The sequence below is a fragment of the Homo sapiens genome, chromosome 4, assembly GCF_000001405.40.
Source record: "Homo sapiens chromosome 4, GRCh38.p14 Primary Assembly".
Lineage (NCBI taxonomy): Eukaryota > Metazoa > Chordata > Mammalia > Primates > Hominidae > Homo > Homo sapiens.
This window is the reverse complement of record NC_000004.12, coordinates 93,180,055-93,197,516: the sequence shown is the minus strand read 5'-3', so window position 1 is coordinate 93,197,516 and position 17,462 is coordinate 93,180,055. Positions and strand designations below refer to the sequence as shown.

At 35.9% G+C, this 17,462-nt stretch overlaps 1 protein-coding gene across 16 annotated transcripts in view; it reads right to left on the bottom strand.

Moving 5' to 3' along the window:
• Positions 1 to 17,462, bottom strand: part of GRID2 (glutamate ionotropic receptor delta type subunit 2) — a 1,506,491-nt gene that overhangs the window by 612,940 nt on the left and 876,089 nt on the right. Inside the window, exon 1 of one of the 16 annotated variants that reach the window (XM_047450136.1) lies at positions 1,461 to 1,678. The exons of 14 other annotated variants lie outside the window; for them this stretch is intronic. Coding sequence is in view for 1 of the 2 variants with exons in the window: in XM_011531894.3 (XP_011530196.1) it covers positions 1,447 to 1,449 (3 nt within the window). In the remaining variant the exon portion in view is untranslated. Of the gene's footprint in view, positions 1 to 1,446; positions 1,679 to 17,462 lie in introns of those variants that run through there. One more of the 16 variants, XM_011531894.3, reaches the window with a different exon arrangement.

Below are 17,462 nucleotides of genomic sequence, written 5' to 3'. Positions count from 1 at the left end.
ATAGTATAAGCTAATATTTGTTGAGTGCTTACTATGTATGACACTATGTGTTTTTATATACACACACACACGTAGATAATAACTCATTTAATTATCACAACATCCTTATCATGCAAACACTACAACTATGTGCATTTTAAATATGAAGAAACTGAGGAACAAAAAGTTAAAGTAACTCACCCAAATCATAAAGCGAAACAGGAGTGGATGCAAGAGTTAATAATTAGTAAAGATATGTTCTACAAAATTTTCTCATAGCCCTCTGCTTCTAAGTTGCAGAACCTGTTATGTAGTTTTCAAAATTAGAATTACAGTTAAACTGAATGTTGCAGAACATTTTGTGGGATACACTAGACTTTTATTTATTTATACTCCACTGTGTTAACTTACGTGCATCCATTGTATAACTGATAGAGAAAGAGACTAAACCATAGAAGACTTTGAACAATACAGGTGATTCCATGACTATTTGCCTTAAAGTGGTATAAGAAAATGTGCTTTTCCTTTAGTAAGACTTACTTTTCATATTCTTTTCAGAATGAGAGAAATTTGCTACACTGGTTAACTGATTAAACATTTCATGTACACACACACATACAGTCACATACACATGTATATTCCTGATGTTTAACCAGAGAAGTATTTGCACCTGACACTTAACCAGAGAAACAGTTATCTGTTACTGTTCTTTCATCACAACGAAACTTCCCATTGCCACCAGAGGAGGAAAACAAAAAAGCTTCTAGAGGAGAAATTGGACGACGATTCTTAGATACTGTGCCAATAAAGCAACATGGCAATTAAGCATCTAGTTTCTGTAGTTAGACAGTTAATTAGTCTACTACTGTTCTTACACTAATGAAAGTCTTTGTGTAGCTTGGTAGTATACTGTTATAAGTAGCTCATCGTTGATGAAGCTACTATGGAGGCTAATTATTTCTCATTAAAAAACAGTCCTAGTTCAATATTTCTGTTATCCTTGGACTTTTCCAGTATTACATGGGGATTTTGCTTTCTAGAATTTTAAGAGTGGCATAAAATGTTGATGATTCTACTAAAATTAAAAGACTTCACAGGAAAACAAAAATCAAAAGGTTTTATTGTTTTTCTGTGCAAAATATCCAAAAGAAAATGCAGGGAAATGCAAAAGGTGAATTTCCATGTCCGTCTTCCTAAGCTACTTGTGTTTTGTCATTCTCAAAGTAAGCTCAGGAGGTATAGTCTTTGAAATTTTTACTGAATCAGAACAGGACCTTGGAGCTTTCTGGGGTTTCTAAAATTTCTTTCATAGTTTCTTCCATAAAAAGGCAGCTTTGTGGCCTACTGTAAAAAATGTTTTCAAATGGTGTTGGGCTTGATAGCATGGAAACTTTCCATAATTCCAAGCAATTGACTTCCCTGCCTGAGTTATTTCACTAGGATGAAGTATAAACTACCTTTTCTTACCATTGAAAAATTACCTTACGGTGTTCGAACTGTGTTTAGTAACAAAAAGTCAGTTGAAACTGAGGTACCAGATGCCAACTGCTCAAACAAAATGTCACTTGCAGAGCAGAATTCTAGAATTCGACAAAGGAGCCCATTTGTGATCACATAAAGCAAGAACATTCGAAGTCATCTGCTATATTTTAGTGATCATAACCTTTCTTAAAAATTTTACATGTATGCTTATCTGTCAGCGTTTATGATTGCATACTTCCTATAAAACAATTAGAGTTACTCTGAATGCCATTTATATGTCTTAGAATTCACTGTTCTACCTTTCCTAGAAATGGAACACACAACTGGGTGCTTTGGTGTTATTGCAAATTCATGGCTTCTAACCCCTAGTTAAAGCTGACCCTCATTCTTTTTCTGTATATAGTCAGTTCTGCTCTTCTTCCATTCTCAAGGCAGTGACAATTCAACCTTCCAGTGTATTGACATGTCCCACCTCAAGTGCTGTGTCTCATCTTCTCTGCCTGATGACGTTGTCCAGCTTATTTGGCCATACACAAATATAACCTGGAATATGGCATATGTTAGAACCACTGGAGATCAACTCTCAAACAGTGGAGCTGGAAGTAAGTACATAAATGTTTCAGTCTCTCCACTCTCCACTGGGTGATTCTGAGATATATTCCACACATGCTTTCTCAGATGGTTCTCCACAGGATTGAGACCTATTTGCCCACAGTTGTAACCCTTTCTTGTTAACACATGCTTGACTGGCTTTTCTCCTTACCCTCTCTCATGTTCACCACTTCCTCACTTGTGCTTCCTGGGAACACCTCCTTAATAAGCCATCTGCATTCAACTCCTTGTCTCAGTATCTGTACCAGTAACTCAAACTGAGTCAGCCTTCCTATACAAATTACACAATTTGTTACATGAGGGGAGTAGTCCTATAGTTAAAATAAAGATACTTGTAAGAAGTAGAACATACGTTCCAACTATCCTATACATAAAAAAATTAGAACAAAATTCTTGAGAAATTAAAATTATTCACAATCTGTCCATAGGAATTGTCTTCTTGTAATATACCCTTAAGCCACTCTCATAATTCTAAAAAGCTGTGCACAATGTATTTGAGTATTGTTTACATCAATGGTGCTCAAGTTTAGCATACGTTATAATCACCTGGAGGGCTTTTTAAACACAGATTGCTGGGCCTACCCCAATAGTTTCTGATTTAGAAGGTCTGGCATGGGGTCTGAAAATTTTAATTTCTAACGAGTTCTCAGTTGATGCAATATTGTAGGTTCAGGGAATGATTTTGAGATCCACTGTTTTATGAAGAGTCCTGGTCAGGGACTGAATGGATTTGAGTCTATATTATTTAATTAATAAACAAAGCCATTCTGCCTTGTTGAGCACCTGAAGAATGTACCAGACACATTGCTAGGTACTGGAGTTGTTTCAACAAGCAAGACAGAGTTTGTCCTGTTCTAAATGAGCTTTCAGACTGGCTACACCGGATACTTATTAGGATTATGAAAAGTATGCCAATACCTGCCAGTCCACACATAATAGTCCAGCAGAAATAACTAAAGACATGCATCTTTCCATAGAAGGAAAGACAAAAGGCTTGTTTTAGAAAAAAATACTATATTTTCAAGCCTATTGTAAAGAGAAAATAGCATATCTGAAAAAAACTCCTTAAAACACACTAAAGTGTTATATTTATACTTCAATCATTGCTACACAAATTATAGCTTTGCACAAATTAGTTTGATGACACATATTTTCTATTTGTGGTGATGTTATTTACAAGAATTAAGTTTTCAGGGTTTGTAAACATAAACTTTTTTCCACTACCATGTTTTGTTTTTCTTTTTTCATCTCAAGTGATAAGATCAGCCTTGAGTATAGACAACCAATTATATCCTGAAATACATCATTGGATTCCACTGCTCTTTATTTCTTACATTCCATTCCAGGTTCAAGAGTAGGAATGAGTTCCGCTAAACTGTTAAATAAATGACTTGTCAAAGCTTGCTTCAACTAACTCCAGGCAGATAAAGAGAAAAAATTCTTGAAGATTACTGTATGTATTTCTGCCCTTTAGTCAGTTTTTATTTTGAGAATCAATCTTTATTAGGAACTACAGAATAGGACTAAGGTGTGTTTCTGTTACTAGAGTTGAGGCCATAAATGCTGTGAGGTACAATTGTGGCCTATAATTCAGGGGGTATCCTGGAGATGTATGCCAAGACTTTCTTCGTCTATTTTAAAGAAGCATATACCCGTTTTAAATCTCTTATATGTATCATAGTTTACTGAAATAATTATCAGTGTTTCACAGTTAGCATACATCTCTATTTAGCACAATTTCACAGTTTACTCATGTCAGAATACAAAAGGAAAAGAGCAAATAAGGATATATTAGTCCATACTCATGCTGCTCTAAGGACATACTTGAGACTGGGTAATTTACAAAGGAAAGAGGTTTAATTGAATCACAGTTCAGTGTGGCTGGGGAGGCCTCAGGAAACTTACAATCATGGCAGAAGGGGAAGCAAACACGTCCTTCTTCACATGGTGGCAGGAAGAAGTGCAGAGCAAAAGGGGCAAAAGCCCCTATAAAACCATCAGATCTCGTAAGAACTCACTCACTATCATGAGAACAGCAGCATGGGGGTAATTGACCCCATGATTCAATTACCTCCCACCGGGTCTCTCCCATGACACGTGGGGATTATGGGAACTACAATTCAAGATGAGATTTGGGTGGGGACACAGCCAAACCATATCAAATGATCTATTTGATAATGATCCCTCGGTCTCCTTCAGACCCAAGGAGATGGGCTGACAACTGTAATTCTGGGAGCTACTTGTATTCCTCTACAGAAACAGTCATTAAGCAGGCTGGCTGACTGGCTTTAAAAGCTTTCCTTCCAAGATGACTTGATGATAGAATTATTAGAAGAGAGTCTTTAAGAGTATTCTGGTAGCACTAATTCTTGTGCTAATTAAGGACAAGGACATACTTGAAGTAAATATTCTGTGGTTTTGATCACCACAATTGTTGAAATGATGTGATCTTTTTGTTGTTGTTTTGCTTTTCATTTGTTTCTTTTGTAGACACATTGGTGTAACACATTTTAAAAATATATGCACCCCACTACAGAACAAATAATTATCTCATGAGATAAGGCAGGCAATACCTTAGTTCGGCAGGCTTGTTCTTATGGACACATTTCACCCTGATTTGCAGTATGACAGTGTGGTTAGCTCAGGATAATTTTAAAATCAACAGAAATCTCTTTTTTTTTTTTTTTTTTTTTTTTGAGATGGAGTTTTGCTCTTGTTGCCCAGGCTGGAGTGCAATGGCACAGTCTTGGCTCACTGCAACCTCTGCCTCCCAGGTTCAAGCAATTCTCCTGCCTCAGCCTCCCGAGTAGCTGGGATTAGAGGCACCTGCCACCATGCTGGCTATTTTTTGTATTTTTAGTAGCAATGGGTTTTGCCTTTCCACGTGTTGGCCAGGCTGGTCTTGAACTCCTGACCTTAGGTAATCTGCCCACCTTGGCCTTCCAAAGTGCTGGGATTACAGGCGTGAGCCACAGTGCCTGGTCTGAAATCTCCTTTCTTAAGACCTACCCATCCTTTGCTTTTAGGAATAAAATCTTGTATCTTACACTATAAGTTGTAAACTATTCACTGAAGTGTTTATCATTCAAGTTTCTAATGTAAGGATTTAAGAGAAAAATGTATTTGTTAGAGAAGGCTATCTATTTTCCTAAAAATAGAATATTGGCCTATTGTAAGGCTTCATTTTTCAAGTTCTTTCGGTGAGGTGTGAAATTATTTTAAATGGAATGATTTCAGTTGCTGGTTGCCCCATTTTGTTAAAAAAGCAAAGTGTTAGTAAGGTTATGGATTCAGTTCCTCTCTAGGTAAATTACTGTTCCTGTCTTCTAGAATCATGGTTATGTCTGTAAGGGGACATAAGACATAAGCCCCAGTGAAAATAAAATGGAACATTATCCAATCACCATCAAGTCTTCAAATGTAGAATATAAAGGGCAGAATATTGTTGTTAGAAAGAGATATTGTGAAGGTGTAAAAAGAACAATGAATGGTCATATAGAAATAGATAGAAGATATTATGGGTATAATGAGCAAGCAATTTATGGTTGGCATTTTCCAGAACATATTGCAGAGATAAAATTTTCTTGAAATGTTTTTGATAAATAAAATATGCTTGAAATGAATTTTGAGTAAATTAAAAGCAGAGATTGATACTGTTATGAAGATAGTTACATATTACTTGACAATAATAATTGATATGGCAGGGCAGATTGGGCTTGGATAAAAGCAATTTGGGACACATGGGAGAGAATTAGACAAATCTTGATGTGACAAAAAGAAAAATAAATGTTTATTGCTATTTTCAGTATTATTCCAAAGGTAAGATTTTTTTTAAAACAACACTTAGTGATAAAGAAATAAAGATATGTAATAATGGCTCTGTGCACAATTTATAATTTGTATAAAATATATTTAGAGTAAATTTGTTAAAATTATATTTGTATAAGTGTTGCAAATTAAAATTACATATAATTTAAAAATCATTTTGTGGGTTCAATTACGTTCAACAAATTAATGTTTCTATTTATAAGGGCCATAAAGAATCTCTCTCAACATTTTAGAAGTTAGGTATGTGAGCAAAGAGGAAGACAGCTTGCTATGGCAGTTCAGATTCTGATATACAGAGTAGTAAGAAGCAGGAAAGCAACATTTCTTACCAACTGATCCTTTAACATGGTTACATTCTTTCCAGGTATGGTTTTTCATCATACATACTACCAGTACATTATTGCAAAGACTATCTAGAGTTTTGCTATTTTTTGTGCTAAAAATGAATAAAAATCTCCATTAAAAATAAAACACGTGCTTCTTCATCCTTCTAATTTTATTAAATTTTATTTTGCATGTACACTATTAAAAATGCATAATCAACTTTATCTGAAATTTTTAATACTTGCAATTATGCCAGATCATTCTCAGAACTAATAAAATTTCTGAGATAAATTAAGATTAATTTCTAAATATTCTTCAAATTATTTTGTAGATTATCTACTGTAAGCCATAGAAATCACAAATAATTTTCAAAAATTCTAAATCATATTTATATTATATTGAAAATTATACCTTAACTTTCTTTTACTTAAACTTGCTTTATGAATAAAGGTATCTGCAAATCTAATGAAAAGAATTATGTCAAAGACCCAAAACATCCAATATGAATTATGATTAAAACAGTAACACAAAAGAAAAATAATTAGTTAAAGGATGATCTAGCTCTAAAGCTAGGAAATAGCGTAGGTCATATTGCTAAATTGTGTATTTTCTCTCTGTCCTAATAAAAGTTGACACTGTTCAAAAATCCTTATCTTTAGCTTTGAATATGACTAAGAAACTTAAAAAGGAAACATTTCAAATGGAAAAAATGTTATTGAGAGCCAAGAAAAGGACATTTTTAGGGTTGAGAGTTGGATATGATTTGGAATCTGAAACACCTCAAATATTTGCTGTTTGAAATTCAAACTATAATTGAAATTGTCAGGTGGTTCACCAAAATGTCAAGGGTTATCCAATCTGCCAAATTTCTGAATGAAGTTGAAAAGACAGCAAATCTTGGATAAAGAATAAGATTTTCCTGCAGAGCTGAATTAAGTCCTCTTTATTAAGTCAATGGCTATGTCAATTTATAGAAATCAATAGTGGCTTTTGAGATGTAGTTTAATAAAATATAGAAATCTATATTAAGTTCTAGAAATATCAAGGTTATAAACAAGAAGTCTATATAAAGACAATACAGTTTGTTGTTTCTTTTTATTTTAATAAAAAACAAAAGTGTTAGTTCCCTTTCTTGAAACATTTTATTTTAATTTAGGTAACAAATTATGACATAAATATAAAGAATGAAACCATTAGGCATTCTAAACTATGCCAATTTAAAAGATAATATAAAAAATAAATGCAAAGTCAATGTGACAAGTTTGAACTTCAGTAGTTGTAAATATGCTCATCCAAAGAGGGCAACAGAAATTAAAACCACCAATACTGGTGTCATTCTCAGAGTTCAAAGGGAAAAAGTTACCACTAGATGAAGAGGTAAGGACTTTGATCTATTGCAGGTTTTTTATACACACTTTTGGAGCAGAAACAAAAAAATCTTACTCTGAAGTTTGTTTTTTTTTTAAAGATGAGATTTGTGTGTGTGTGTGTGTGTGTGTGTGTGTGTGTGTGTGTGTGGTGTGGTGTGGTGGTGTTGTTGTTTAGTACCACACAAAACTATCTGTATATTCCTTAGTTCCATATTCCCTCTGCAAAGTACAGGTGGTAAAGCAATTTGGAATCAATGGATATGTGGATACTTCGGTATGGTGCTGAACAAAAAATTAATATGATTGAATGAAAGTACACATTGAATTATCAGTCAGATCCTCCCTGAAACTAGAAAAAAATGTTTAGATGGCTATTGCTATGATCTGAATGTTTGTATCCCTCCAAAATTCCTGTGTTGAAACCTAGTCATGAAGGTGCTGGTATTAGAAGATGGGCCCTTTGGGAAGTGATTAGGTCATGTGAGCATAACCGTCATGAGTAGGATTAGTGAACTTATAAACAAATGTGAGGGATCTGGTTATCAAATTTTGCCCTTCTACCATGTGAGGATGCAGTAAGAAGGCACCAATTTAAAGTAGAAAGGGAGTCCTCATCAGACACGGAATCTGTTGGCACCTTGATCTTGAACTTCTCAGTCTCCATAATTGTGAGCAATAAATTTACATTGTTTATAAATTACCCATTCTAAAGTATCTTGTTACAGCAGCCCAAACTGACAAACACAGAATTTGGTACCCAAAACTGGGGTGCTGCTATAACAAATAACTTAAAATGTGGAGCAGATTTGGAACTGGGTAATGGGCAGAACCTGGGAGAATCTGAAGGTACGTGCTAGAAAAAGCTATGAATTTACCATAAAATGGGGTTATTTTGAGGGCTCTGAAGAAGAGAACTGTAGGGAAGGCCTCAATCTTTTTAGAGATTACCTAAATGGTTGTGATCAGAATATTGATTGAAATGTGTATGATAAAGGTCATTCTGATGAGGTCTCAGATAGAAATGAGAAACATGTCATTGGAAACTTGAGGAAAGGTGATTCTTGTTATTAAGTGACAAGGAACTTGACTGAATCGTGTCCCAGGGTTTCGTGGAAGGTGAAACTTACAAGCACTGAAATAGGATATTTGGTGGAAGTACTGAGGATGTAGCATGGCTTCTCTAAATTGCTTATAGTAAAATGTAAGAAGAGAGAAACAAATTAAAGAAAAAATTATAATCAAAATGGAAGCAGAAAAAGATCTGGAAAATTCTCAGCCTGGCAATGTTGCAAATGAAAAATAGAGAACACCAAGGATGTGACCATTCCACTGTTTGTATTTGATAAGGTTACTATGGATTGGTGGAAGCCAGGGGCTCTTATTCATCAAGCCAATGGACAGAAGAACTCCACAAATGCATCTCAGAGATCATCGGGCTGGCCACTCCCATCATAAGCTTAGAAATCCAGGACCTTGGGAACAGAAAAATTTTAAGTCTCTGCTCTCCCCATTCTGGAACAGCACTCCTTGCCCTGTCTTACTGTTGCTCATGTGGGCCCAGGTACAGCTTGGGCTGCCTCTCTGCAAGGTACAGATGGTAAACAATGATGGCATCTGCACAGTGCCATCTCCACAGGTGTAGATGCACAGAATTTATGAGCTGTGGAGGCACGGATGACTCTAGATTTCAAATGAAGCTCCAGAGAGTCTGAGGACCTAGGCAGTGAACAGCCACAGGAGTGGGGCCACCACAGAGGGATCCCATTAGGGCAATGTCTGGTGAAGCTCTGGGGGTGAGGTCACCCTTGAGATTCCAGAATAGTACAGCCTTCAGCATGCAAGTCTAACCTGTGAGAGCTGCAATACTGGTTGCATTCCGCAAACCCTGTGAGAGCTGCAATACTGGTTGCATTCCGCAAACCCTGTGAGAGCTGCAATACTGGTTGTATTCTGCAAACCCATGTGGGCAGGGCTTCCTGGAAACTTGGGGGCCCGATGCTTGACCCAGTGTGCCTGAAAGGCAGGATATCTACTCAAGAATTATTCTCCAGCCTTGAGATTTAATGTTGTTTGCAACATTACATTTTGGACTTGGGACAAGTTACCACTTTTTTTCCTTTCTATTTCTTCTTTTTGGAATGGAAATGTGTTTTCTATGTCTGTCCAATCATTGTATGTTGGAAGCACATAAGTTGTTTTATTTCACAGGCTCACAGCTAGAGGCAAATTTGCCTCAGGATAATTCCCATCTTGAGTCACACCCATATCTGATTTAGATGATATTTAGATGAGATTCTGCACTTCAGACTTTTCAGTTAATGCTGGAACAAGTTAAGACTTTGGGTGCTAGGTGCGGTGGTTCACGTTTATAATGCTAACACATTGGGAGGCCAAGGCAAGTAAATCACTTGACAAGGTCAGGAGTCGAGACCAGCCTGGCCAACGTGATGAAACCCTGTCTCTACTAAAAACACAAAAATTAGTTGGGTGTGGTGGCACATGCTTATAATCCCAGCTACTTGGGAGGCTGAGGCAAGAGAATGCTTGAACCGTGGAGGTAGAGGTTGCTAAGAGCCGAGATCACACCACTGCACTCCAGCCAGGGCAAAAGAATGAGACTCCATCTCAAAAAAGAAAAGAAAAAAAAAGACTTTGGAGCTATTCGTCTGGAATAAATATATTTTACATGTGAGAAGGACATAAATCCTGGAGGGCCAGGAGTAGAATACTGTGGCTTGAATGTGTTCCCTCAAAATTCTTACATGAAAACCTACTCATCAAAGTGACCATATGAGAAGGTGGGGCTTTTGGGAGGTGATTAGGTCATGAGAACAGAGCCCTTGTGAAAGGGATTAGTCCCTTATAAAAGAGGTGTGAGGAAGCTGATTATCACCTTTTGCCCTTGCACCATGTGAGGACACAGTGAGAAGGTGCTATCTTTAAAGCAGAGAGGGAGCCCTCACCAGACACCCAATCTGTTGGTGCCTTGACTTTGGACTTCTTAGCCTCCATAACTGTGAGCAATAAACTTACGTTGTTTATAAATTACCCAGTCTATGGTATTTTTATTATAGCAACCCAAACAAAGACAGTCATATAAATGATAATACTGAATATGAATTTAGTTATAAATGTGTTAAAACTATATTAGAAGGGGGGTAAGGGTAACTTCATGTGAGAGATGACATATGCAACCTAAATTCTCATCTTGCAACTTAGTATATCAATAGATATCAGTATCTAGGAAATCAAGAAAAAACAGTGTGAAAATTTTATTTAAAATATTTGAAAAATACCAAAAGTAGCTAAAACAAAACAAAACAAAAATTGAAGGTTGCTTCGCTAGAGTGGGAAGAGCATGTAGGGAGATGTAGAGAAGCAATTCCTATATTACATTATTAGTTTTATATGTACGGCACTTTTTTTCTGAGTACACAGGAAATTTTGATAAAAATAAATTTTATTTAAAAAATTGGTGTGCAGTTAGAATGGCGATCATTAAAAAGTCAGGAAACAACAGATGCTGGAGAGGATGTGGAGAAATAGGAACGCTTTTACACTATTGGTGGGAGTATAAACTAGTTCAACCATTGTGGAAGACAGTGTGGCAATTCCTCAAGGATCTAGAACTAGAAATACCATTTGACCCAGCCATCCCACTACTGGGTATATACCCAAGTATATAAATCATGCTACTATAAAGACGCATGCGTATGTTTATTGCGGCACTATTCACAATAGCAAAGACTTGGAACCAACCCAAATGTCCATCATTGATAGACTGGATTAAGAAAATGTGGCACATATACACCATGGAATACTATGCAGCCATAAAAGAAAGGATGAGTTCATGTCCTTTTCAGGGACATGGATGAAGATGGAAACCATCATTCTCAGCAAACTATCACAAGAACAGAAAACCAAACACCGCATGTTCTCACTCATAGGTGGGAATTCAACAATGAGAACACTTGGACACAGGGCGGGAAACATCACACACTGGGGCCTGTCATGGGGTGGGGGTCAGGGGGAGGGATAGCATTAGAATAAATGCCTAATGTAAATGACAAGTTAATGGGTGCAGCAAACCAACACGGCACATGTATACATATGTAACAAACCTGCACGTAGTGCACATATACCCTAGAAGTTAAAGTATAATATAAAAAAATTGGTGTGTATTCTTTAATCACATTATCATCAAATATACTATTTTTAAAAAACCTGTAAGAAAACTAAGCAAAATATTTTCTAAGTAATTTTTGTTAAAATTTGTTTAAAAATTACATTGAAGTGTCATTAATATCTACAGTTTTAAAGTCCATTTTTTAAGAGATATATAAAGAGATATACAAAGTACCATACTTCATGTTTATATTACAAATCTTAAATATATCTCTTATAAAGGAAAGCAACATCAGCTTCCCATGTTGCTGACCTTGTCATGTGTATGCAGATTGAAAAATTGATTTGAGTGTCTGTAGTCAATTAAAACTGTGATATCCCATACAGAATGTTTACTATTTTATTGCTGATTTTATTATCTTCTTTTGGATCAATGACATTCCCAGGGTAAATAAAAGATCTTAGGGGAACCACTATTTTATCACAGGACATCACTTTGAAATTCACAGAAAGCAAATGACAAAAACATTTCTTACCACATAGAGGACTGTAACAAGACAGGAAAACAGAGGTGCTATTGAAATTTTGTCTTAAATTCTCCTACCTGTACCTGGGGATTTTGATTCAAAATAAATACAGAGATATAAAAATTCACTGAAGTTAAAGGATAAGTCAATCAAATACATCTTTTCTTCAGACATACTTTACCTACCATAACTATCTAAAAATATTTTCTTAACACTAACTAATAATCCTAACCATTTTCAAAATGACTCTCCTAACCCTGTAGTTATTCAAGTTGAATGAATACTGAATTACTCATGGTAGAACTTGTGTCTTTCAGGCACATTATAGTAACTACAAATAAGTACCTGGGAGAGTGGATATTGTTATTTTGTTTTTTGTGTTTTTTTTCAGACAGAGTCTTGCTCTGTTGCCCAGGCTGGAGTGCAGAGGTGCAATCTTGGCTGACCACAACTTCTGCCTCTAGGGTTCAAGTGATTCTCCTGTCTCAGCCTCCTGAGTATCTGCGATTACAGGCACACGCCACCACGCCCAGCTAATTTTTGTATTTTTTGTAGAGATGGGGTTTCACTGTGTTGGCCAGGCTGGTCTCGAACTCCTGACCTCTTGATCCGCCCACCTTGGACTCCCAAAGTGCTGGGATTACAGGCGTGAGCCACTGCACCCGGCCAGAGACCTGATATTTTTAAGAACTTGTTCAGCTGTAGGGACTTGAGAAATATATGAAAGAGTACCTGTGAGTTTTTTTTTTTTTTTTTTTTTTTGAGAAATAATATGGCTAAAGTGAACTAATCCTGTTGGTTGCAGAGGAGAGGAGCAGAATGATCACTTACATGAAGAAAGATAATGCATATACAAAATTAGAGCCAAAAGAAGCAGGCACTTCAAAACCTTGACTGAATGTACACGGACACAGGCAGTAAATACACCACTTAAGTAAAGCTAAGTGGCACTGTTCACCACTCCCCTTTCGTTGTTAAAATGTGTGCCTTCATGCATAGCTAGAGCCAAGCAAAGCCATTCTACATCATTTATTTGGCAACTAAATGTGCTGAGCTGATTTTTGCCACTCTACTGGAACCTGCCTTTCTTGTTCCTGACTACACATTTCTGTTTAACAGTTTTTCCCATCTGGAATACATTTACTTCTTTCCTTTATCCAAGCTACAAACCATTTTCTTTCAATGAAGATCTGTGTTGAACTTTTACTGGGAAGGCTTCACTTCCTCATCCACAGTTACTGCTCCTTTTCTAATCGCCCTACAGCAAATAATGTGCATCATTCATTTAGGCATTTATTGTATTCCTCTAAGACTTGCTGCTGATTTTTTATATAAGAACTGATATAGTGTAAGGTACAGTGGACACTTAAAAATCAGTTTTGATTTTAAATTTTACCTCCCTTGTTTCTTACCTGATGAGTTTGAACAAGTTCTCAGCATCTCTCAAACTATTGTTTCCTTATTTGTAATCTGGGAATGAAGCCAACTTCCCTGAGTGGTAACATGGATTTACTGATATAGTTTATTTCTCCTGCTCTATTCAGTGCCTGGCACATGATGGTATGAGAAAAATGTGTGGCCCTTTTCCTTTTCTTTACTTTTAATTCCAGGCCACATTATAGAATCCTGGAGAACAGAATTGCCCTACATTGCCTTGTATCCTGTTCAATGTCTGGCAGTAATTAAGTACCTTGTGGGCACTTACTAAGTAGTTGTTTGAATGAATGTATCAGTTGGGTGCCATGAAGAATCCCTAATGGACCCTCTATTGAGTGCTGTTAGTAGCTACAGGGACTCTTTAGATGTAGTAGAACAAATTCATCACACGTGAAACATCTATTGATTGAGGGTCAATGCTATCATTTTTGAGTATTGAAGAAAACATGGTTATGTCTTTACAGGGGGATAATAAAATCATTATTTTAAACTCATGACATTCTGTTTAGTATTATCTTCAATTTAATAAGCTTGACAGACATGGATAAAAGGTAAAAAGACTGTCAAACATTTTGTGAAGTTAGAGTTTTTTAAAAAATTTTACCCAAATGGATCACCTCATTTTTTTTTAATTAGTAAACTGGAAATCAGTGAAAATTGAGATATTATGTGTTTATGTAGTTCTGCCTCAGGCAACTAAATTTTAGGAATTTCTGGTTCCTTATATCAGGCACCTGATTTACTTTATTTTACTCATTTTGATTTAATTCTGCTCAGTTGATGAATAAAAGAACCTGTGAATGCCAGATATTATCCTAAGGCCAGTATAGTCTTTCTCAAACTTTATACTGCATCAGAAACACCTGCGGGGCTTCGCAAACATAAATTGTAGGGCGCCACTCCCAGAACTTCTGATTCAGTAGGTCTGGGCTGGTGCCCAAGAATTTGCTTTCTAACACTTTGCCAGGTGATGCTGATTCAGGGAACACACTCTGAAAACTACTGCACTGGAGAAGAAAAAGACAAAATCAAGGTTCCTTCTCTAGAGAGGATTAGAGTTTTTATTAGGCTTTGGCAACAATTCTAAAGTGATAAATTGTTTATAAGGACGGTGATGTCTGGGTGTAGAATCTTGAAGTTTCTGATAATTCAAATATTTGAAGATCCAGATTTGAGCAGCCATGTCTTCAGAACAATAAGGAAACTTGAAAAATATGCCTGTAGGCATGTTTTAAAAACTATTTTGACTTCTGATAATGTAGCATTATCTTTAAACCACTATTTCTACATAACTGAAGTAGAGAGAAAGTTAAATCTAATATTAATTAGGAGTTGCCTATATGACTATTTTTGATCACTCTCTTCTAATTTGATCAGTTATACATTTGAATTGATAATGCAGTCTATTTTAAAGATAATAGAATATAGTTTGCCTAAGTAAGAATCTTTTCACACATAAAAATCACACATTTAGAGTTCTAAATTCATTTTTTTAAGTTAATGGAGTATGTATAGAGGTATAACATCATTAGATATTTTCAGAAAAAAAGCTGTTAAAGTGATCTACACAATGAGTTCAACTAAAAAATAGATTTTGACAATTTAAGAGGAAATTAAATAGGCCTGCATGAGGTAGTTTAAGGAATCTACCATTTAGATTAGATTTGGAGAAGACCATTATCAGATATACTTCATTTTAAACACTAAAAATGTAATTTTTACATTGAAGTTTAAAGGGAACTGGAAGTATTTCAATGCCATTTGAATTCCAATGTGACAGGCCAAATAGAAAGCTTATTTTGGTAAGAAGTTTCTTAAACACTTGTGAAATTTATTAAATCCTTTTTTTCTAAGCCTACTTCTTGATAATCTCATGGACTACCATATTTTGTAAATATTGGAAATAATTCTATTCTTACAAAGGATTTTTATTAAGATAAACTAGGGTTTGTTACACTATATTTTAAAATCAATTCATTAATTCACCAGCTACTATGAGGAATCTTTACATCTTCAGGTACTAGTCTATGTGCTGTGTAGAAAACAGAAGTTCAGAGAAATCTAAACTTCAGGCATTGGAGAGGTAAGGAAGCTGCAGAAGGTAAGTTGGAAGCTAGTAGAGGCTGGTTCATGAGGGTGCATAATAGAAGTCATCTCTGTAACATAAAAGTGCAAGGTGAAGTAGCAAGTGCTGATGTAGAAGCTACAGCAAGTTATCCAGAAGATCTAGCTAAGATCATTGACGATGGTGGCTACATTAAACAAATTTTCATTTACATTAAAGGAAGATGCCATTGGGACTTTCATAACCAGAAAGTCAATGCCTGGCTTCAAAGTTTCGAAGGACGGCTGACCATCCTGTTAGGGTTAATATAGCTGATGACTTTAAGTTGAAGCCAGTATTCCTTACCATTTCAAAAATTCTAGGGCCCTTCAGAATTATACTAAATGTATTCTACCTGCACTCTGTAAGTGGGACATTAAAGCCTGGATGACAGCACATCTGTTTACAGCATGGTTTACTAAATATTTAAGTGCACTGTTGAGAACTACTGCTCAGAAAATGAGATTACTTTGAAGATATTACTCTTTATTGACAACACACTTGGTCACCCCAGAGCTCTGATGGAGATGTACAAGGAGATTAATGTTGTTTTCATGCCCGCTAATACAACATCCAGTCTGTAGTCCATAGATCAAGGGGTAATTTTAACTTTTAAGTCTTATCACCCTTAAGAAATACATTTCATGTCTATAGCTGCCATAAATAGGTGATTCTTCTGATATATTTGGGCAGAGTAAATTGAAAACTTTCTGGAACAAATTCATCATTCTACATGCCATTAAGAATATTCATGATTCATGAGAGCATGTCAAAATATCAACATGAGCAGGAGTTTAGAAGAAGTAAATTTCAGCACTCATGAATGACTTTGAAGGGTTCAACAGTTCAATGGAGGAAGTAATGGCAGATGTGCTGTAAATAGCAAGGGAATAAGAATTAGAATTGGAGCCTGGAGATGTGACTGGATTCCTGCAATCTCATGATTAAATTTGAATGAATGAAGCATTGAATCTAGTGAATGAGCAATAAAAGTGGTTTCTTGAAGTGGAGTCTATTCCTGGTGAAGATGCTGGGAACATTGCTAAAATGACAAAAAATAATTTAGAATATTCCATCAACTTAATTGATAAAGCAGCAGCAAGGTTGAGAGGATAGACTCCAATTTTGACAGAAGTTCTTCTCTACTCTGGGTAAATGCTATCAAATAGCATGGCATGCTACAGAAAACCTTTTGTGAAAGGAAGAGGTGATTGGTATGACAAACTTCACTGTTTTCTTTTAAGAAATTACCACCATTACCTCAACCTTTAGCAATCACCACCCTGATCAGTCAGCAGTCATCAATATCCTGGCAAGACTCTTCATCAGCAAAAAGATCCTGACTCACTAAAGGCCCAGATGATTGTTGGCATTCTTTAGCAATAAATTATTTCTAATGGCCCTATGTACATTTTTTTCTTTGGCATCATACTATTGCACTTACTATGCTACAGTATAGTGCAAACATAACATTTACATGTGCTGAGAAACCAGAAAATTTGTTCTGGTTTGGAGACATCGTGTGATGTCTCCAAAATATGCCTGTATTTGGTGAAAGAAAAATATTGAACTTTTTTGACGGGTTGCATGTGACACTGTGGGGGCAAGTATAGCATCCAATTTGGCTTTAGGGTTGTATGTAACCTGAGTAACTGGGTAAATGATGATTCCGGT